Here is a 22765-nt window from a genome sequence, read left to right as displayed (position 1 = left end):
ATCATTGTAATGCAATAAAGTTGGTATTGTAAGAAGCACTGAAGAGGAAGTAGCCATCTCTGCTGGAATGAGTTAACACAGGCTTCCAGAGATAAAGGTGATGCATCCTAGGTGGGTCTTCAAAGAAGAGTTGAGATTTAGTAGGAGAAAAAGAGAGATGGGGAATTATAGAACCCCAAATTTAGAAACTTCAACTTTAACCTCATGTCAAATATGGCCCATTTCTCTCTAACTGAAGAGTATCATTAAAAAATAGAAAACAATATATTCAGAGATTTCAGAAATATTTTTGTTTGTAATTGCCACAATTCATGTGTAGGGATAACAATTCATATAAATTGGGTCTATATAATCTTAAATTGCCATGCTACCATTGGAGATTATTTGGATTTTGCAAAAATTCATATTGGTTTATGACATTACAGAATCACTGAATAAAACTCTGTAATCTGTAATTGCTAATGTCAGGGAGTGGATCCAAATATTTAATAAAGGCTCATATTCATAACAAGTTTGTTGTGTTCATAGACCTTAAAAAAGATAAAGCCATCATGTAAGTGAAAGATATTATCTGTTTAGCTGTGTTCTATGTTTTCCATAGGTATGTTTCTGGCTGAGATGATAGAAAAGTATTTTGTGTCCCCTACCTTGTTCCGAGTGATCCGTCTTGCCAGGATTGGCCGAATCCTACGTCTGATCAAAGGAGCAAAGGGGATCCGCACGCTGCTCTTTGCTTTGATGATGTCCCTTCCTGCGTTGTTTAACATCGGCCTCCTGCTCTTCCTGGTCATGTTTATCTATGCCATCTTTGGGATGTCCAACTTTGCCTATGTTAAAAAGGAAGCTGGAATTGATGACATGTTCAACTTTGAGACCTTTGGCAACAGCATGATCTGCTTGTTCCAAATTACAACCTCTGCTGGCTGGGATGGATTGCTAGCACCTATTCTTAATAGTGCACCACCCGACTGTGACCCTGACACAATTCACCCTGGCAGCTCAGTTAAGGGAGACTGTGGGAACCCATCTGTTGGGATTTTCTTTTTTGTCAGTTACATCATCATATCCTTCCTGGTTGTGGTGAACATGTACATCGCGGTCATCCTGGAGAACTTCAGTGTTGCTACTGAAGAAAGTGCAGAGCCCCTGAGTGAGGATGACTTTGAGATGTTCTATGAGGTTTGGGAAAAGTTTGATCCCGATGCGACCCAGTTTATAGAGTTCTCTAAACTCTCTGATTTTGCAGCTGCCCTGGATCCTCCTCTTCTCATAGCAAAACCCAACAAAGTCCAGCTTATTGCCATGGATCTGCCCATGGTCAGTGGTGACCGGATCCACTGTCTTGATATTTTATTTGCCTTTACAAAGCGTGTTTTGGGTGAGAGTGGAGAGATGGATGCCCTTCGAATACAGATGGAAGACAGGTTTATGGCATCAAACCCCTCCAAAGTCTCTTATGAGCCTATTACAACCACTTTGAAACGTAAACAAGAGGAGGTGTCTGCCGCTATCATTCAGCGTAATTTCAGATGTTATCTTTTAAAGCAAAGGTTAAAAAATATATCAAGTAACTATAACAAAGAGGCAATTAAAGGGAGGATTGACTTACCTATAAAACAAGACATGATTATTGACAAACTAAATGGGAACTCCACTCCAGAAAAAACAGATGGGAGTTCCTCTACCACCTCTCCTCCTTCCTATGATAGTGTAACAAAACCAGACAAGGAAAAGTTTGAGAAAGACAAACCAGAAAAAGAAAGCAAAGGAAAAGAGGTCAGAGAAAATCAAAAGTAAAAAGAAACAAAGAATTATCTTTGTGATCAATTGTTTACAGCCTATGAAGGTAAAGTATATGTGTCAACTGGACTTCAAGAGGAGGTCCATGCCAAACTGACTGTTTTAACAAATACTCATAGTCAGTGCCTATACAAGACAGTGAAGTGACCTCTCTGTCACTGCAACTCTGTGAAGCAGGGTATCAACATTGACAAGAGGTTGCTGTTTTTATTACCAGCTGACACTGCTGAGGAGAAACCCAATGGCTACCTAGACTATAGGGATAGTTGTGCAAAGTGAACATTGTAACTACACCAAACACCTTTAGTACAGTCCTTGCATCCATTCTATTTTTAACTTCCATATCTGCCATATTTTTACAAAATTTGTTCTAGTGCATTTCCATGGTCCCCAATTCATAGTTTATTCATAATGCTATGTCACTATTTTTGTAAATGAGGTTTACGTTGAAGAAACAGTATACAAGAACCCTGTCTCTCAAATGATCAGACAAAGGTGTTTTGCCAGAGAGATAAAATTTTTGCTCAAAACCAGAAAAAGAATTGTAATGGCTACAGTTTCAGTTACTTCCATTTTCTAGATGGCTTTAATTTTGAAAGTATTTTAGTCTGTTATGTTTGTTTCTATCTGAACAGTTATGTGCCTGTAAAGTCTCCTCTAATATTTAAAGGATTATTTTTATGCAAAGTATTCTGTTTCAGCAAGTGCAAATTTTATTCTAAGTTTCAGAGCTCTATATTTAATTTAGGTCAAATGCTTTCCAAAAAGTAATCTAATAAATCCATTCTAGAAAAATATATCTAAAGTATTGCTTTAGAATAGTTGTTCCACTTTCTGCTGCAGTATTGCTTTGCCATCTTCTGCTCTCAGCAAAGCTGATAGTCTATGTCAATTAAATACCCTATGTTATGTAAATAGTTATTTTATCCTGTGGTGCATGTTTGGGCAAATATATATATAGCCTGATAAACAACTTCTATTAAATCAAATATGTACCACAGTGTATGTGTCTTTTGCAAGCTTCCAACAGGGATGTATCCTGTATCATTCATTAAACATAGTTTAAAGGCTATCACTAATGCATGTTAATATTGCCTATGCTGCTCTATTTTACTCAATCCATTCTTCACAAGTCTTGGTTAAAGAATGTCACATATTGGTGATAGAATGAATTCAACCTGCTCTGTCCATTATGTCAAGCAGAATAATTTGAAGCTATTTACAAACACCTTTACTTTTGCACTTTTAATTCAACATGAGTATCATATGGTATCTCTCTAGATTTCAAGGAAACACACTGGATACTGCCTACTGACAAAACCTATTCTTCATATTTTGCTAAAAATATGTCTAAAACTTGTTTAAATATAAATAATGTAAAAATATAATCAACTTTATTTGTCAGCATTTTGTACATAAGAAAATTATTTTCAGGTTGATGACATCACAATTTATTTTACTTTATGCTTTTGCTTTTGATTTTTAATCACAATTCCAAACTTTTGAATCCATAAGATTTTTCAATGGATAATTTCCTAAAATAAAAGTTAGATAATGGGTTTTATGGATTTCTTTGTTATAATATATTTTCTACCATTCCAATAGGAGATACATTGGTCAAACACTCAAACCTAGATCATTTTCTACCAACTATGGTTGCCTCAATATAACCTTTTATTCATAGATGTTTTTTTTTATTCAACTTTTGTAGTATTTACGTATGCAGACTAGTCTTATTTTTTTAATTCCTGCTGCACTAAAGCTATTACAAATATAACATGGACTTTGTTCTTTTTAGCCATGAACAAAGTGGCAAAGTTGTGCAATTACCTAACATGATATAAATTTTTGTTTTTTGCACAAACCAAAAGTTTAATGTTAATTCTTTTTACAAAACTATTTACTGTAGTGTATTGAAGAACTGCATGCAGGGAATTGCTATTGCTAAAAAGAATGGTGAGCTACGTCATTATTGAGCCAAAAGAATAAATTTCATTTTTTATTGCATTTCACTTATTGGCCTCTGGGGTTTTTTGTTTTTGTTTTTTGCTGTTGGCAGTTTAAAATATATATAATTAATAAAACCTGTGCTTGATCTGACATTTGTATACATAAAAGTTTACATGAATTTTACAACAAACTAGTGCATGATTCACCAAGCAGTACTACAGAACAAAGGCAAATTAAAAGCAGCTTTGTGAACTTTTATGTGTGCAAAGGATCAAGTTCACATGTTCCAACTTTCAGGTTTGATAATAATAGTAGTAACCACCTACAATAGCTTTCAATTTCAATTAACTCCCTTGGCTATAAGCATCTAAACTCATCTTCTTTCAATATAATTGATGCTATCTCCTAATTACTTGGTGGCTAATAAATGTTACATTCTTTGTTACTTAAATGCATTATATAAACTCCTATGTATACATAAGGTATTAATGATATAGTTATTGAGAATTTATATTAACTTTTTTTTCAAGAACCCTTGGATTTATGTGAGGTCAAAACCAAACTCTTATTCTCAGTGGAAAACTCCAGTTGTAATGCATATTTTTAAAGACAATTTGGATCTAAATATGTATTTCATAATTCTCCCATAATAAATTATATAAGGTGGCTAATTGGAATTCATTGGCTTCTTTCTGCTCAAGTCAATTTACACATCTACATCTCACTGACACCACAGAGATGCCAAATATTGCTTTGCAAAACCTTTGTAATCATTATCCAAGTGATCTATAAGGAATCTATTAATTGGTATGCATTATACCTAAATGACCATCTTCCAGAATCATCAGAAGAGACTTTAGTTGAAAAGGGAGAATACTTTTAAAAATATACCTACCTAGCTAAAGGATATTCTGAAAATACTGTCCAGAATATAGAGTTGCTAATATAATTTGACATATTTTTGAAATAACTACTTCCATAATGCAACTTCATGATAGGATTCTATCTTGAAAACGCAGGTAGAATTGGCTGGGCGCGGTGGCTCACGCCTGTAATCCCAGCACTTTGGGAGGCCAAGATGGACAGATCACAAGGTTGGGAGTTCAAGACCAGCCTGGCCTACATAGTGAAACCCCATCTCTACTAAAAATACAAAAAAATTAGCTGGGCGTGGTGGTGCATGCCTGTAATCCTAGATACTCAGGAGGCTGAGGCAGGAGAATTGCTTGAACCTGGGAGGCAGAGGTTGCAGTGAGCTGAGATCGCACCACTGCACTCCAGCCTGGGCAACAGAGTGAGACTCTGCCTCACAAAAAAAAAAAAAAAAAAAAAAAAGAAGGTAGAATCAATCAAGTTGCCATAGAAATGACAATACTATGAAATAAAACTTGAAAACTTGAATTCACTAAGTGAAACTAAATGGTTGCTTTCTAATAAAGAGAAAACACTTGTATGAAGAGAAAAATGGGTGTTCTGGTTTTCAAATATTGTAGCCAAAAGATAATGGCTATATAAATTTATATATCTTAATAATTTTCAAAAAACTAGTATATGGTAAAATAACAAGAAAACCATTTTTGTGTATTTCAAACAACTTAATAATCATACAGAAAGTCAGTTGACCTTTTTTGCGGAAATGAAAAAGGTAAAAAGAACGGAACCAATAGTCCTTACATTTGGCTTTTAGTTTCAATTTTGGCATCAAATTAGCTGTGTAATGTAGGCAAATCAAATTCTAGCCCTCAGATTTTTCCATCATTAATAGGGATGTTGAATTTAGAATATTATCTCTGGTATGCCTTTAATTCTAAAATGCAATGTTCAAAATCAAAGTGATCACTCACTGCCTATTCAAAGTGAGTAATTTCCTCTATATGGGAAATACTTAATGAGAAAAAAATGTATATTGTCAATAGACTTTTAGAAACATTACTAAGATAACATTAAACAGAAACACAACATTTGGCTTTGACTTTAGCCTCATTAAAAAAAAAAGAAAACTCTTCTTATCCCCAAAAAGTTTTATACAATAAAGTTGAAGGATGCTTTAAATAACTGAAATTATGGCTATTATTTCTTCTCTGTGAAGTTACAGATTTCTAAAAGACAATATCTGATATATGTAGAAGATATTAAAATCAAGAAATCACTAGTCATTTGTAAAATTGCCTCAAACCACGAGTGTAGTAAGTTCTTTGTCATTAATGACATTTACCACAACACTTCAACATACTGGGCTTAAATCTTATAATCTCTAGAGCTAAGTTTGTATTACAAAAGGATAAAATATGCATATCATTCTCTTATAATAACATCTATAATTCTGTTGCAGAGAAAATAATTGATAATTCTTAATTCTTCTTTTCTTCTTCTTCTTTGAGATTGAGCCAGTGCACGCCAGCCTGAGTGACAGAGCAAGACTCTGTCTCAAAATAGAAAAAAAAATAACAAAAAAAGAAAAGAAATTGTTACATGAAAGTAACATAATACTGAAAGGTAAATTTATAGTAAAAAATTATTTTATTAAAAAATAAATATTGCCAAAATTCAGTGAGCTGAGGAATAATTTAAAAACAAGGAAATAATCCCTAAGAAACAAGAAGCAGTGAGATGATGAGGAAGAGGATAGATAGATAGATAGGTAGATAGATAGATAGATAGATAGATAGATAGAGATATAGATAGAAAGGTAGTTTATGAAATATAAAAAGTAATAGAATAAATACAGACAAATGTTGGTTCTTAGAAAAAAAACTAGTATTTTTATACCTCTGGCAAGATGAATCAAAAAGAGTAAACAATAGGAGGAAGGAAAAAGGGAGAAAACTATAGGTAGAATGCTATAAACTTACATTTCAAAAGCTATGTGAAATAAACAAAATGAATATATTCTAATAAAAATAGCACACCAATACTGGAGGAAAAATAACAACTAATATTTTTTGAAAAATTTATAACCTTTGAAAACTGTGATCAATGGTTAAAATCATGCCCCAACACAAAGAAAGACAAAACACACATGGTTTTGTAGGCAAGGAAAAGATAATCACATACAAATTCCTCCAAAAATTAGGAAGGGAAGAAACATTTCCATACCCGTCCTAGAAGCTAGAATAAACATTGATACCAAACCTAGGCAAGAAATAATAGAAAGAAAAATTACTGACAATTTTACTCTTAACACCAATGGAAAAAAAAATTTAACGCAATATAAGAAAACCAAACCCAGCAATATATGAAAAATATAAATTAGATAGGTCTTCTAGAATAGCAGAGTTAGAAATTCAGAGGACATTCTTACCAGCGAAACAACAATTTAAGAGGTAAAAATTAGAGCAATTATTTAAGTTCTCTGGAAATTTTCCTAAGGGTATACAGCAAACGAAGAAACACTCATTCAAGAAAATCGACTGAATATCAGTAAAAAGAGTGAGAGTCTGTGGCATTTAAGCCACAACTCGCTCCCCTCCACCCCACCCTCAGTTCCAACTTACAGAACCTTTATCCTGGGTACTCTAAGAGTGAGGGACTCCTTCTGACCCTAGCATCCAGCCTCAGGAGAAACAAGATAACTTCATTCCCACCATCATCTCCTCCTCCGCCAGCCACATATTACAAGAGTTATATTCCACGTAGGCATGGCCAAGAGGACTGGTTGTCCCTTGCCCTATCTATCCCCTATTTGTAGGGTAAAACTGCTACCCCAAGCATGGTAGAAGAAGAATCCTGGGGCTCCAATCACCCCACCACAAGACACTCACAGGACAGAGTTTTCACACCAGCAATGTCTTGCAAGTCTACCCCAGGGCTGCCACCCACCATCTAGTGCCTACACTTAAAGAGGGAGTGTCATTGTGGGAAAAGCAAGACCATGTCCCCAGTACTGTTGTGGCAGTGTCAGAGTTCTGCCCAGGGGAGAAGTCAAGCCATAAAGACAAAGAGCTTCACAAAAGTTCTTGAGGAGACTGACTTTATTTGAAATAGAAAGTGGAGAATTCCATGGCTAAGCCTGTTTTCACAAACAATAGAGATCATAATGAACATTAAGTTAGAGGAGGCTGGGAGCTCCATGACGCAAGCAAAACTTCAGAGCAACCAAAAGTTTAACAGAGTGAACCAGGGAAAGACACAACTAAAAAGAGCCTTCTTGTGGGTCAGGAAGACAGTATCTATGCAATAGGCTGCATCCACTCAGGAGAAATCAGAAGACATGACAGCAATCCCAAGTGAAAAACAAACCCATCAACATAGGATGAAAGGTTAACTTGCATACGGGACTTAAACACAACTTCTGATAAAACATTGACTGAACAACAAACTATTCTGACCCAGGGGTGACTCCTGGGAGACCAGAATTAAAAATAAATGTAAACTTATCCTTACCAGTCTGAAAGACTGTGTGCTTGTCCCAGGTTGTGCCCCCTCTGGAGCTATCAGAAAGGAAAGTTCCCAGCTAAAGTCTGAGAACCCAAAATATGAAACAAATCTCAAAGAATTTAGAAAGTTTATTTTGCCAAGTTTAAGGACGCCACCTCAGGAGGTTTGATGACATGTGCCTAAGGAGGTTGGGGCACAACTTGCTTTTATATATTTTTGGGAGACATGAGACATCCATTAATATATGTATGATGTACATTGGTTCAGTCCCGAAAGGCAGGACAACTCGAAGCAGGAGCTTCCGGGTCATAGTTAGATAAGAGACAAAGATTGCATTCTTTTGAGTACTTTATCAGCCTTTCACTGAGCCTTTTTGTGAATTGTGAATACACAATTTAGTCTGGCTCACTGAATCTGCATTTTTACATAAGTAATAAGGCAGATGAAGCAATTAGATATGCATATGTCTCAGGTGAGCAGAGGAATGACTTTTTGCCCTCTACCTGTGAAGATAAGCTATTAGTTTTCATTGCCAGGGTAAAATTCAATAGAATTGTTATAGGGTAAAGATCTTGAGGCCCACAAGGAATTTCCTCCTGGGCAAATTGTGAGGGAGGTATGTAGCTTCTTAATCTTTGTAATAATCTTACTTAGGAATAAAATGGGAGGCAGGTTTGCCTGACATAGTTCCCAGCTTGACTTTTCCCTTGGCTTAGTGATTTTGGGGTCCTGAGATATAACCTTCTTGCACAAGTCTCTAGCTGAACATGAGGCCAAAAACCCAACCTTTCTGATCTGATATGGTGGCCTCCAAGCCACATGCATATTCAATGGTAAAGGGTAAAAACCTGTCTAAAAGGGCTTACGCACATCTTTTGACCAATAAGTGACTTATGCTGCTCCAAGGGCTACACCAAGGTATTCAAGATAAAAGATACAAACAAGGAAAAGCAATCTGAGCAGGGACATTAGAGGCTCTACACTGTAAGATAAATTAACTTTACAGAATTAGTTCAGCTGAATCATTGAACAACTTTTTTTAAAAAGCAAACAATAACATCAACAATCTTGTGGAGTAGGTGGGTTCAGAAATTCTAGAGTTGAAAAGCACAATAACTGAAGTAAAAAATCTACTAGAAAGTTTCAAATGGGAGATGGCAGAAGAAATAATTTGCAAACTTGAAGATAGATTAATGTAGATTATGTGGTCTGAAAAAGAGAAAAAATTACAAAACAAAAACACAGAGCCTTAGAAAAACATGTGACATCATTAAGCACACCACCATAAGTATAATGGGAGTGCCAGAAAGAGAGAAAAGAAAGACAAAGAAAAAATATTTGATGAAATAATTACTGAAAACTTCCCAATTTGATTTTAAAAAATCACCTGCACATCCAAGAAGCTTAATGAATTCCAAGTAAGATAAATGCAAAGAGATAGAAACCCAGACACACCATAATCAAAATGTTGAAAGCCAAAAAGCAAAATCTGGAATACAGTAAAATTAAAAAAACAACCCATTACGTTCAACAGAACCCAAATAAAGTTAACAGTTGCTTTCTTACCTGAAAAAATGGGGGTCAGAAGACAGTAGGGTAGCATATTCAAAGTATAGAAAGTAAAAATTGTTAAAACAATGATCTCTCCAGCAAAATCATATTTCAAAAATGAAGGTAATATAAGGACAGTCTCAGATAAAAACTGAAATTTTTGCAAGCAGAAATGCTGTTGAAGAAATACTAAAAGAAGTTCTTTAGAATGAAAGCAAATTATACCAGAGAGAAATTCAAATTATTTATATCAACTACTAATTTAATTATTTATTTCTTTTTTTGAGTTTGTGAAAAATAGGTATTCTTTTTAAATGTTTTATTTGGTTTTCTCTTAATTAAAAAACATATTTATTATTGTGTACAATACGGTGTTCTGAAATAGATATACATTGTGCAATGGCTAAATAAAGCTAATCGACATTTGCATTACCATACATAGTTATCATTTTTGTGGTGAATACACTTAAAATCTACTCTCTTAGCATTTTTCAAGAATGTAATATATTGTTATCAACTACATAGTCACCAGGTTGCATAACAGATCTCTTGAACTTAGTCCTCTTATCTAATGAAAATTTTGTATCCTTTGACCAACATCTCTCTACCCTCCTCCCACCACCTTCAGTTATTCATGTCTAAAACAAAATTGTAGTTTGTTGAATTGATAATTTTCCTAAGCACTTGAATAAATACATATTAATTTCTTTTCTAAGTTAGTTGGACAGAACAGCTGAAGTTTATCTTAGTAGACAATGTCAAATGTACATTAAAGAAACCACAAAAAATGCTTACTTAGCATACAATCAAAATTGTCTAGTCATAAATTTAACAGTAAATTATCATTTGTGCTACATCCACTCAAGCAAAGAAAATACCATATAATGGTGTGTAATACCATTATATGTATGTATATAATACCATATAACTGTATCTCAGTGATTAGGGACATTACACATATTTATTGCCTCACTATAATTTATATGGAAAAATACATCCAAAACAATACGTAAATGGTTCTTTCCTAAAATATTTTACAATTTCCATGTTTTAAGTTTAGATACTTGTACTTCTTTTACAGTTTAAAGAATGAATAAAAGTAAAAAATAAAGATTCAAAAAGACCTGGGCTTGAATTTCCCAGTTGGTTACTGTGTAACGCTAAAGTAGTTACTTCATCTCCCTGAATCTTACTTTTCTCATCAGTAAAATAAGAATACTATTTTAGCAGGATTTGTAGCAGAATTAAATTAGATAATGTGTTTTTGGCCTACTGTGGTATTAAAGTTAGCGTATTTGCATTGCTATAAAGTAACATCTGAGGCTGGGTAATTTATAAAGAAAGCAGGTTTATTTGGCTCACAAATTAGGCTGTACAAGCATGGCACCAGCATCTGCTCCTGTGGAGGCCTCAGGAAGCTTCCAGTGATGGCAAAAGGTAAAGAGGGAGCCGATATATCACATGGGAACAGAGAGAGCAAGAGAGAGAGGGAGGAGGTACCATGCTCTTTTAAACAACCAGATCTCCCATGAACTCATAGTGGAACTCACTCATTATCAGGAAGACAACCAAGCCATTCATGAGAGATCCTGCCCCATGACCCAAACACCTCCCACTAGGCCCATCTCTAACATTGGTGGTCACATTTCAACATGAGATTTGGAGGGGACAAAACATCCAAACTGTATCAAGTAGGTATTACAAAAAGGCAACTAACTTTCATTACTAACATTGTTATTTGTAAAGTAGAAAGAAAGCATGCATATCTAGCATTTAACATTTTAAAAGTTGTGGCAGAAGGCTTGCGATTTCAAAACATTCTCTTTTGTAAAGTGGAAAGATCAAACAGCAGCCTGCAGTAAGCAAAAATTGTAAAGAAGATCTCCTTGATTAAAAGTATCTTTGTTTCCCACTATCCCAGTAGATTATCTCTCAGACTATCATCTCAAAAACTTGAGCTGACTTGCAGTAAGGAAACAGTTTAGTGGCCAGGTGAAGAGATGGATAATTTTTGCGGGCAGGTCATTGTGGAGGAGAGAGAGCTTGGGTACCACTCCTGGTAAAACCAATTGTCAACGCATTCCATTACTTATGGTTGCAGTAAGCAACGTGCAATGAGATGAGAGTATACCTATGTTAACAGTAAGATGCCACCACCTTTATATCAGTGTTTGTCAACCATTGTCTACTTTTAATTGACCAAATTGGAGCGAGGGAGATTCTTCATGTTAGATTTTTCTGTGGTAAATTTTGAGTTCTGTGTTGCCTTTCCACCACACTCCCAACTACACTGCCTGCTGTCTCCTTTGCTGACTATCCAGTGTGTGCTAAGGGAATAACAAATGCTAAACTTCCCAAAATGCAATTACAAAAATGAATCTGCCTCAGGAGAAGGTACTCACATACAATGAATTTTGCATTTTGCCCTATTTCTTTTTCATCTTTTATGTATTTCTCCCTTTATATCATTACAAATGCTTTTATTTAAAATGCAACCTTGATTATGGTATTCTTGTGTCACTTCACAACTATTAAAATGCAACTTTTTTTTTCCTGAGATAGAGTCTCTCTATCGCCTCAGGATGGAGTGCAGTGATGCAATCTTGGCTCACTGCAGCCTCAACATCCTGGACTCAAACAATCCTCCCACCGCAGCCTGCCAAGTAGCTAGGACTAGTGGTGCATGCCACCTCACCCAGCCGATTTTTGTATTTTTTGTAGAGATGGGTTCTCACTTTGTTGCCCAGTCTGGTCTTGACATCCTGGGCTCAAGCTATCTTCCTGCCTTGGCCTCCCAAAGTGCTGGGATTACAAGCGTGGGCCACCACATCCTGCCAAAAGCCAACTATTGATTACTTTTTACTCTTACAACAACTAGTTGATCTTAGAACAAGTAGTTAATATAAGACATATAAACTACATGCACCAGTTATCCTAATCTACTGGGCACAAATGTTCAATGTTCTTATCATGTTTCCTCAATTGTATTTGATTTACAAACATGACCAAATCAACTGAAGATATCAGTCTGATCTAAAGTAATGTAGAAAGTCAAAGTGTTGACAAAATCATGTGTTATTGTGGAATGCAGATATCTTTATATCTAAGCAGAAAAAAATTGTAAACACTTCAGTTTTGGTTTTCAGTGGTGTCAGTCCTAATTTAGGATCAAAACTGAAAGAACTCAAATATAGACTGTGCAATGGCCTTAAATTGTTTTGGATTGTCCAGCATTTGTTCCCCTTTATGTGGTAAGGTCACATGGATTTTCTCTTGTGGAAAATCATCAACAATCTATACAGTTCAGCCACAATCACCTTACTTTCTAGAGCTTCATGAATGGGCACAGTAACAAGGCCTGACTTGTCAATATATTCCATTTACCTCACCACAGAGATTGGTTCAATATGGGCACATGGCCCATGGTCAAATTAGGCTAAAACAAAAACACCGTCCAAACTATCAGGGGAAATAAAATAGTCATTTATGTTTGTTTTTTCCTGCTGGGTATATTATTTGTATTTTTTATTTTCTATATATTATGATGTTTTGGCACCTTAATAATCTTTCTGGCTAGAGAGAGACTGCATCTCCCAAGGCTATTCAATTCCAGAGAGAGCAAAGGTTCAGCCAAGAGCATGTCTTTGATATGCAAACCAACCAATCCAGAGTCATGCCTCCTCTGTCTGGCCCATACCTGTCAGGAGAGCAATATTCCTCTGCCTTAATCATTCCAGGGCTAGGTACCAGGAAACTAGGAAACACCCCTTTAGCTTAAAGCCCACTGACATTATTCAAACTAACCAATCCTAAACTCTTTACTGGGACCTATCTTGCCTCCTGCAGAAACTCCCCTAAAGGCTGTGGCCTGGGCACCCTCCTATCTCCTGCAAGCTCTGCCTCCGGACCCACCATGGTGCTTTCCCATCTGGCCCTATTTGGTGCACTGTGCCTCCTGTTTCTAGGACCTGTGATCTTAAGCTTTGTTTTCCTGATCCTCTCTTGTTTCTGCCCTTGTGACTACATCTGACTGTCTCATAAAAGAACACAGAGCACTGGTTTGCTGAAACAATACAACAGTGTGAAAATTTGGGTGGTCATATTGGCTCCTAGTTCCCAGCAATAAAGGAAAAAAGGCAATTTCTAGAGTTGGAGAGGGAGTCTTTAGCTTTTGATCAAGTTGAACCTGAAGTTTGGTGCCTATATTTGAATAATTGGCTCCAATTAACAGAGCCAATAAATTTACTTTTTACTTAAGCCAGTTTGAGTTGAGTGTTTGAAGACTTAATTATTAAGATTTATGAGTTGCACAGGTTGATAAAAAAGAAGCTAAATGGAATGAAACAGAGAGCATTTTCAAAATAAAGATCTTGAAGTTTAAAAAGAGAAGATAATAAGAGAAGAATAGTATAAAAAGAGAAGAAATAGTATAATACAATAATGTATAACATATTGGTGGCAATACAAATCTTAGGAAAAATATTTACCTCTGAAGACTGATTTTTTTTTAGAAGGCCACCAGAGAAATCTTTTTCTCTCTGCACATACACAGATGAAGAGCCATCTGAGGACACAGCAAGCCAGGAAGAAAGGCCTCACAAGAAATCAATCCTGATGGCACCTTGATCTTGGACTTCTAACCTCCAGAACTGTGAGAATAAATTGTGTTGGTTAATCCAGCTAGGCTGTGGTATTTTGTTATGGCAATCTGAGTTGTCTAATACAACCACCAATGGTAAAATGATAATTTCTACTCATAGAAACATGGATACCAAAATCACGTTCAAAATTGTCATTCCTTTTGCATGTATTTTTACAGCAAAATATGTAATTTAAATTTATGTAATAGCTCTGTAATGTAATAAAGAAGGCTATCAAGTAGTTATTAAGGGAAAAGATTTTAAAAGCTTATAAACATTTCATTGACTAGAATTTCTTCAAAATTTTCTTTTTATTCTATTGTTCATAAATATATATTTACTAAATAGAATTGTATATCTTTATATAGTTCACATTTTCATTTTATTCATATTGGCTCTGTTAGTTTTTGATTGATTCATTCATTTATTCTCTCAGCACATATTTATTATAAATACGAGAAATAGCGTGGTGGCGTTATAGTCATTAGAGCTGTTCATTGAGTTTTTCTAGTACTCTGCCCTTCTGGGCACATATATTGACTATATTTCCTGGCCTGCCTTTTGCTTAAGAGGAAACCCATGATACTTCTTCCCTTAAGTAGCCAGTTTTTGTGATATGATCATTTTCTGGAAAGATCACTTAACTGCCTTTCTGAGACCTTCAACAGTTCTATTTTCCTTTTGCCAGACCACTGGCAAAGATTGAAACAGTAGCTGCTCCTTCAGCTTAGTTCCAAAATGAGAAGACACAGAGCATCCCCAGCTGACAGTGATGAACATGAAGCATGAATGAGAAATAAACATTTGTTATAACTCATTAATATTGGGGGCCTATTGTTTCCAGGGCAAAATTTAAACTACCCTAACTAATCAGCTGAATGCAGTGGAATGCACAGATGGATAAAGTTAACCCCTGCAATTAAGAACTTGTAGTTTGGTGGAATGACTAAAGAGCAACATACGCAAAACAAACTACATTAAATGAAAGTAAAATAGAAACTCTGTGATGAGGGAGAGTGTAAGGGGAAATAATACCTTCATTCAGACTGGGAATATTAGGCAGCACTCTACAGATACATGGAATTTAACCTGAATCTGTAAGAAAAGGACAGGGTTTTCATAGGCTGAGAAAGTATAGAAAAGATATTCTTATGAGTTCCAAACCAAAGAAAAATTAATAGTAAAAGCAGGAAGACAAGAAAGTATATGAGTGGCATGTCACAAATTATCATAGGAGACGTGTAACTACATATAAAGACCCTTGATGTGGGAACTAGATATCATCAAAGAATCTGGTCATTATTACAACTGAGTTTCCCAAAGTGTGGTTTCTTTCTCATTTCATTTTAATTGTTTTTACATTTAGCTCTATGACTAATTTGAAATTAATTCTTTGTCTGGTGGGAAATGGGATCTAAGTTCCATTTTTTTATTACTAAAAATGTCTAGTTGAACCAGAACCATTTCAAGAGTTCTCCCTTAATGCTTCAAAGTGCTAATTTTTTGTCATGTCAAGTGTCCATAAAAAAAGGAATACAATTCTGGACTTTCTATTCTGTTTATTTTTGTTTGTTCATCAATAGTATACCATATTAACTATTGCAACTTTATAAGTATTGATACATATAGTAGAGTAAACCCTCTCAATATTGAAACCACCTTTGCAAAAGTGATAACAGTGAGAAAATTATTTCAGTGAAAAATATCTGACCTAACTGGCTCCATCTTGCCTTTAACCTCCAAGCTTCCCATGTTCATTTCTGGGTGTAGGCTGAGTTAACTATGGAGGAATTTAGTTCATAGTTTAACTTTGAAACAAAGTTGGAAATGTCTTGGGATCCTTAGGGTGTCACTTTTCTGGCCAGAAACCTCTGTGGCTGGTGGCACCTTTGCCTGAGTTTTGCTTGGGCCCACTGGGTTCATTCCACCCACTGGGCCTGGCAGGCTGCACTTGGCTTGCACTACTGGCACCAGATCCCACACCTGCTAAGGGCAAGCCAAGCGCAGAGCAGTGAGGGGTGTGTGAGCAACCATGGGGTCCAGCCACTTCTCACAACCATACGTGCCAGCTGCAGCAGGGCAGGCAGTTCCAGGCACCAGCACGGGCACTGGTTTCTTGCCAGGCTGTATCTAGACCAGGTATACCACAAATCACTTCCACTACAAGCACCAGGGAATGCAGTGGTGCCTGGAAACTTGGAGATACCAGGAACCACAGAGCCTCAAAGAGGGTGTCACAGCCCTGGTTTGAGGAGCCCCTAGGTCTGGGCTCCCTGAAGGGCCACAGCTCTTCTCTCCATCTTGTTGTTCCCAACATGGACAGTAGGGGAGGTGGAAGCATTTCAGCCCTGTTTGTGTTATAGCTCTTTCAGTCCCACCATTCATCAGGTCCCAAGTTCTTGTCCCACATCCAGGAAGAATGAGGTACACAGACAACTAGAGCATGAGCAAGGCAAAGAGGAGCTTTACTGAGCAACAGAACAGCTCTTGGGAGAACCTAAGTGGGTAGCTCCTTTCTCCAGGCAGGTAGTCCCAACAAGTGTCCAGCTCTCAGCAGAGAGGAGACCCAGAGTGGGTAGCTCTTCCCACAGCTAGTAGTCCCCACATCTGTATGAGTCTGGCTGGGTCTGGGGTTTTTATGGGCTCAGAAGGGAGGAAGTGTGTGCTGATTGGCCCATGGGCAGTCATGGGCAGGCCCAGAAAAAGCACCATAAGTTTTCACCCCAGGCAGTGGACTCCACCCAGAACTGAGCCCAGCCCTCAGGCTTCAGGTCATCCCTGGCTTGAAGGTGGGGCTTCACGAGGGACCCGCCCCTTTCCACACAGGAGCCTGTCTGTCTGCCTCCAGCTGCCATCAACATGTGGTCCACAGCACACAGGCTGTTCAGGCCAAAGGGCTCCTGTGAGACTGTGCTAAGCCACCCTCAATACCCCTTGGCCTCGCTCCCATGCTCTTGGGCACCCAAAGTCCAGAGAGGGCTAAAGAAGCAGGAAGCTGGTGTGTCAGCACCACCTAGAGTATATGCACACCTGGCCAGGTCACCACAGTGCCCAGGCTCAGCTGCAACTTTGCTCCACCCTGGAGTGGGCACCAGGAGTGGGGAGAGGCCAGACAACAGGAGCAGGCACTTTCAAGCCTGCAGGGACCAGGGGCTTCCTGGGCCCCCAGGAGTGCAGGGATGCCTGGGTCTAGAGCCAGGACTGGGTGGCTGCAGCTGTGCCCAGGAACGTGGGACTCCTGCTCCATCAACTCAGTAGGTGGTAGGGCTCCTGCCTGTTACCACCCCCCACCAGCTCTCCCGGAGTGCACAGCCCCAGCCCCTCCTACACAGCTGCTGCCAGTGTCTTCACATCAGTGACTCCAGACTGACAAGCGCTGCCTTTTCCTGAAACAATACCTGTCCTGCCTGGCCCTCAGACTACCTTTGTAAGACTAACAAATTAACCACAAGATTAGAAATTATGGTTTAGGAGTCATGCAGCCAGAGTCCCAAGGTTCTTAACCTTCCCAATTGCTCCTAGGAATAACATCACTATTGTAAAACCTAAGATTGTTGTTTGAGATATTTTTTAGCCCCTGCATTCTGATGGACCAGCTGGCACCACCCAGACTGGTTATCAGGCTCAACAAAGTCTGCAATCCCAGCCAGGAACAGAAGACAGCAAAAAAACTTGCTTCTTGCTTCAACTCCCTGTGATTTAATCTCCAACCCAACCAGTCAACACTTCCCACTCCCTAGCCCCATACCTGCCAAATTATCCTGAAAAAACTCCAGTCTCTGAATTATCAGGGAGACAGATTTGAGTAATAAAACTCCAGTCTCCCATTTAGCCCACTCTGAGTGCATTAATCTCTTTCTCTATTGTAATTTCCCTGTCTTAATAGATTGGCTCTTCTGGGCAGTGGGCAAGGAAAGCTCATTGGGTGGCTACAATATATTGTTATTTAAGATCATCTTAGCTTTCTTGGTACTTGAACTTCTAAAAACATTTTAGAGTGAGCTGGTCCATTAGCAAAATGAAACCAACTGGAGTCTTGATCAGGAGTGCACTGAACCAATACATCAATTTGGTGATAATTGAGATTATTAGGTTTCCAATCCATAACATGTCTTTCCATTTACTCAAGTCTTCATTCATCTCTCTTAGTGAGGTTTTATTATATATAGGAGTCTTATACTTCATTAATTAGATTATTAATAATTTGATGTTTTTAATTCTTTATCAAAGGTATTTTTTTACATTTCATTTTTGTTTGTTGCCAGTATATAAAAATACATTTGTTTATATTGACCAGGAATCTAGAAACTTGTTCATCTCTCTCATATACTGTATAAATTTATTTCTAAATCATTTGAGATTTCTTTGTTTGGATTTTTAATATTTTTTTAATTACAGTTTTGTTTTTTCTCTTCTAATCCACGTTAGTTCTGTTTCTACCTTCATTTTACTGACTACCACCTCTAGTATAATGTTGGATAGAAGTGGTGAGGGTCTCATTTCCGAATTCAGAAAAAACTTTCAATATTTTGCTTTTAATTATAATGTTTACTACAGTTTTGGCTAGATACTTTTTTCAGATTAAAAAACTTAATTTTATGATGTTTGCTAACTTTATACCAAGCAAGAATTATTACAGTATAGGCAAGATTTTTTATGTGAATGGAGATTAAATTTTAATTTTTTTCTTTATCAAAATGACCATAAGATTGTTCTCCTTTAAACTATAATGTGGTAAATTATAGAAATTAATTTTTAAATAAGCCAATTTGCATTTTCTTTTTAAATCCAATTTGATTGTGCTTTTTTTTAATAACTCAATGTGTTTGCTAATATTTTATTTAAGAATATACATCTATGTTTTATAATTTCCCTTTAATTTTTGCAATAACCAAATAAAATTTGGGTACCATTATTACAACAGTCTCAAAAACAAGATGAGAAATATTTTCTTTTTCTATTTTTTTGAAAAAGTTTTGCAAGATTAATGTTATTGCTTTCATAAATATTCCTTTAAATTCATTAGTGCAGCCATCTAAGTCTGGCATTTTGTATGTGGAAATGTGTTAAATTACAGATTCAATTTTTTATATAGTTATAGTACTATTCAGACTATCTATTTCTTTATGGATTTAGTTGTGTTTTTCTGAAAATATGTCCATATTATTTAAATTTATAAATTTATTGACATAAGCTTGATCATAATGTCTCCTTATCGTCTTATCACTCCCTATAGGAAGTGTGATTATCCAAGCTTTTTCCCTTCAATATAGTTATTTGTTCCTCATTTTCCTTGTGTTTTGATTAGTCTTGAGAGGAGTTTATCGATTTTATACATGTTTCTTTTTTTCAAAAGAATCAACTTTCAGCTTTGTTGAGTTTCTCTATTGCATATTTGTTTTTCCAGTTCATTAAATTTTGCTCGTTTATTTCTTTCTCCTTTCTATTTGCTTTGGGTTTGTAGTTTTTTTAATGTAATCTCTGATATAGAAACTTAGATCACGTTTATAGCCTCTAATGTATGCATTTATGAACACAAATTTCTCTCAGAACACTGTTTTAGCCGCATCTCACAAGTTTTACATGCAGTATTTCATATTCTCATTCTTTCCAAATATTTGATTTAATTGCAACTTCTTCTTTGACTTATCGATTGTTTTAAAATGTGTATCCTTGTAGGCTGCGCACAGTGGCTCATGCCTATAATCCCAGCACTGTGAGAGGCTGAAGCAGGAGGGAATAATCACAGGATTTCTTGAGGCCAGGAGTTCGAGACCAGCCTGCGCAACGCAGCAAGCTCCTGTCTCTACTTTTTTTTTTTTTAAATTGGCCAGGCACATAGTAGCATGCATCTGTAGTACCAGATACTCAGGAGGCTGAGACAGGAGGACCACTTGAATTCAGAAGTTCAGGGCTGCAATGAGCAATGATTTTCCTACTACATTCCAGCCTGGGCGACAGAGTAAGACCCTGTTTCAAGAAAAAAAAATGTACATCTTTGGTTTTGAGAAATAAAAAATGAAATTCTAAGCTCCCAAGAGAGAAGACTTGGGACCCTAGAGAAATCTTGAAAACTGAGTTATCAGCCATGGCAGGAAAGGAGGTCAGACATGCCTCGTGATACCCTCTCCCTGGATAACCACAATGAGGCTTTCTTCCCAAACGGCTAAACAGAAACCAGCCCTTTCAAAAGACCCCACCATTGTTATCAACCAACCACCTGATGCTTCCCACTCCTTTTTGTGGTTTCAGCATAACTAGCCAGGATTTCTTCTTAATATGAGACCACCAACCATGGAGGGGTCAGGTCAGTCTACTGATGATGTACAGGAAGGGTTTTCACATCTTCTGCCTCAACTTGGGTGTCAGAGGGCTAAAATCTCCACTTTGGATGATACTAACACAGCTGTTTTTTGGTATCTGGGATCCATGAAGGAGCATGAAGCTCAATTACACACGACCATGGTTCTCTTCTCAATTGCACATGTTCTTCTCATAGAAGAACCATGGACATGTGCAATTGAGCTTCATGCTCCTACATGGGTTCCAGGTACTCCTCTCATGACTCTTTCTATAACTTATTAAATATGTATATTTGGCCACTCTGCTTAGCATAAACTCCTTTTCCCTTTGTCCCTCCCTCTAAGTGTCTGTTTTTGGCTCTGGCCAGAGGCTATCCTTTCCAGCTTGTCAGAATAGCCACCCTGCAGGCTCCAACCCTTTATGAGAAATAAAGCTCTCCTTTCCAAATCTATGAACCTTGTCATTCGTGAGTTGCCACTTTCAACTCAAGATCCATAAGGATATTTTAGTAAATTTGTCATTAACTTCTAGTTTAATTCCATTGCAGCATTCCATTGCAGCAAAGAATATACCCTGTTTAATTTCATGTCTTTAAAATCTTGTTAGGACTTACTTTACAGATGGCAGATAGTCTTTTTTAGTAAATGTTCTGTATGTATTTGAAAAGAATGTCTGCTTGGGAATTGTGAGGCACAGTGATCTACATATTTAATGTTTAATCATCTCTGTATTTACTGAGTTTTTGTCTGCTTATTCTAATAATGAGAAAAGTATGTTAAAAACTCCTATATAAGTGTAGATTTGTCCGTTTCTCCTTTAAATGTAGTCGAGTTTCTCCTGCACATGCAACTGCCCAGGATTCAGAGACGCCAAAAGAGAAGATACAGAGGGTGGGTCACCAGCAGAAGAAGCCGAACCCCGGCAGCGTGGAGCTGCACAGTGGCCTGGGCCAGGACTCAGAGAAGGTGAAGGAGCTAAGAAGTCAAAAGGCTGCACTGCGGTCTCTGCAGCAACAGAGGCAATTTAGCATGTTGCCTGGGGCCATGAGCCACCCTCACAAGGTAAAAAAATACGGCGGCTGCTTCCATTCAGCCTGCGGACAAGGCCAAGACAAAGCCAGACCAGAAACGGAATTCTGGGAAATGTAGTTCCACTTTATGTAAGCTCACTCTGCACAAAGCCACTACACTAGGCTAGGGAAGCTCTCAAGACACCTTTGAAATAAATTGATATTCATTTAATTCAAGGAGCTATCTGAAGCCACAAGATTGAAAGAAACTGCCATGAGAGAAATTATAGAGAACAGAGCAAAAGTAATTGCTCCAGCCCACTACTGCTACCTGGTATAGCCACAGGTCAAAATAAAAAATACGTATTTTCTGGGAGTGAAACCACCTTTGCAAAAATTATGACAATGACAGTGAAAAAAATCTGACCTAACCAACTCCATTTCGCTTTTTTTTTTTTTTTTTTCTCTGAGACGAAATCTGGCTCTGTCACCCAGGCTAGAGTACAGTGGCACAATCTCAGCTCACTGCAAACTCCGCCTCCCGGGATCAAGCGATTCTCCGGCCTCAGCTTCCTGAGTAGCTGGGACTACAGGCACCCTCCATCACACCTGGCTAATTTTTGTATTTTCAGTACAGACGAGGTTTCACCATGTTGGCCAGGCTGGCCTCGAATTCCTGACCTCAGGTTATCCACCTACCTCGGCCTCCCAAAGTGCTGGGATTACAGGCATGAGCCACTGTGCTGGGATTACAGGCATGAGCCACTGTGCCTGGCTTCCATTTCCCATCTAACCTCTAAGCTACTTTTGTTCATTCCTGGGCTTAGACTGAACTAACTTTAGGAGGAATTTACTGTTTAACTTTGAAACAAAGATGATGACAGCTGCTACCGGAAACAAGCCCCCTCCTTGCCTGGGGACCAGTCTGCCTTTGTAAAACTAACAAATTAGCCACAAGATTGTAAATTATGGCTTGGGAGTCATGCAACCAGAGGCCATCAGCTTCCTAACCTCCCCAACTTCTCCTAGGGGTAACATCACTATTGTAAAACCTAAGAGGTTTGAGGTATTTTTCAGACCCTGCATTCCAGTGGATCAGCTGATGCCACCCAGAATGGTAAACTGGTTCATCTGT

The 22765-nt window shown here is 37.4% G+C and overlaps 1 protein-coding gene across 9 annotated transcripts in view, besides 2 other annotated features; it reads left to right on the top strand.

Annotated features, from left to right (window-relative positions):
* SCN3A (sodium voltage-gated channel alpha subunit 3) overlaps positions 1-4421 on the top strand; it is a 116525-nt gene extending 112104 nt beyond the window's left edge. For all 9 annotated transcript variants that reach the window (NM_001081676.2, XM_017004662.3, XM_017004661.3 and 6 more), the window contains one exon: positions 602-4421. In NM_001081676.2, coding sequence (NP_001075145.1) covers positions 602-1797 — 1196 coding nt within the window. In that variant the 3' untranslated portion in view covers positions 1798-4421. The remainder of the gene's footprint in view (positions 1-601) is intronic.
* Positions 21107-21606: an enhancer, noted in NCBI's record as "H3K27ac hESC enhancer chr2:165926851-165927350 (GRCh37/hg19 assembly coordinates)". NCBI's record gives its function as "activates a minimal SCP1, AML or CMV promoter by ChIP-STARR-seq in primed H9 embryonic stem cells {active_cell/tissue: H9 hESC(primed)}" and the evidence as "EXISTENCE:reporter gene assay evidence [ECO:0000049][PMID:30033119]".
* Positions 21607-22108: an enhancer, noted in NCBI's record as "H3K27ac hESC enhancer chr2:165926349-165926850 (GRCh37/hg19 assembly coordinates)". NCBI's record gives its function as "activates a minimal SCP1, AML or CMV promoter by ChIP-STARR-seq in primed H9 embryonic stem cells {active_cell/tissue: H9 hESC(primed)}" and the evidence as "EXISTENCE:reporter gene assay evidence [ECO:0000049][PMID:30033119]".

This window comes from Homo sapiens, chromosome 2 (genome assembly GCF_000001405.40).
Source record: "Homo sapiens chromosome 2, GRCh38.p14 Primary Assembly".
NCBI lineage: Eukaryota > Metazoa > Chordata > Mammalia > Primates > Hominidae > Homo > Homo sapiens.
The sequence above is the reverse complement of the archived record's forward strand: the minus strand, read 5'-3'. Positions and strand labels throughout refer to the sequence as shown.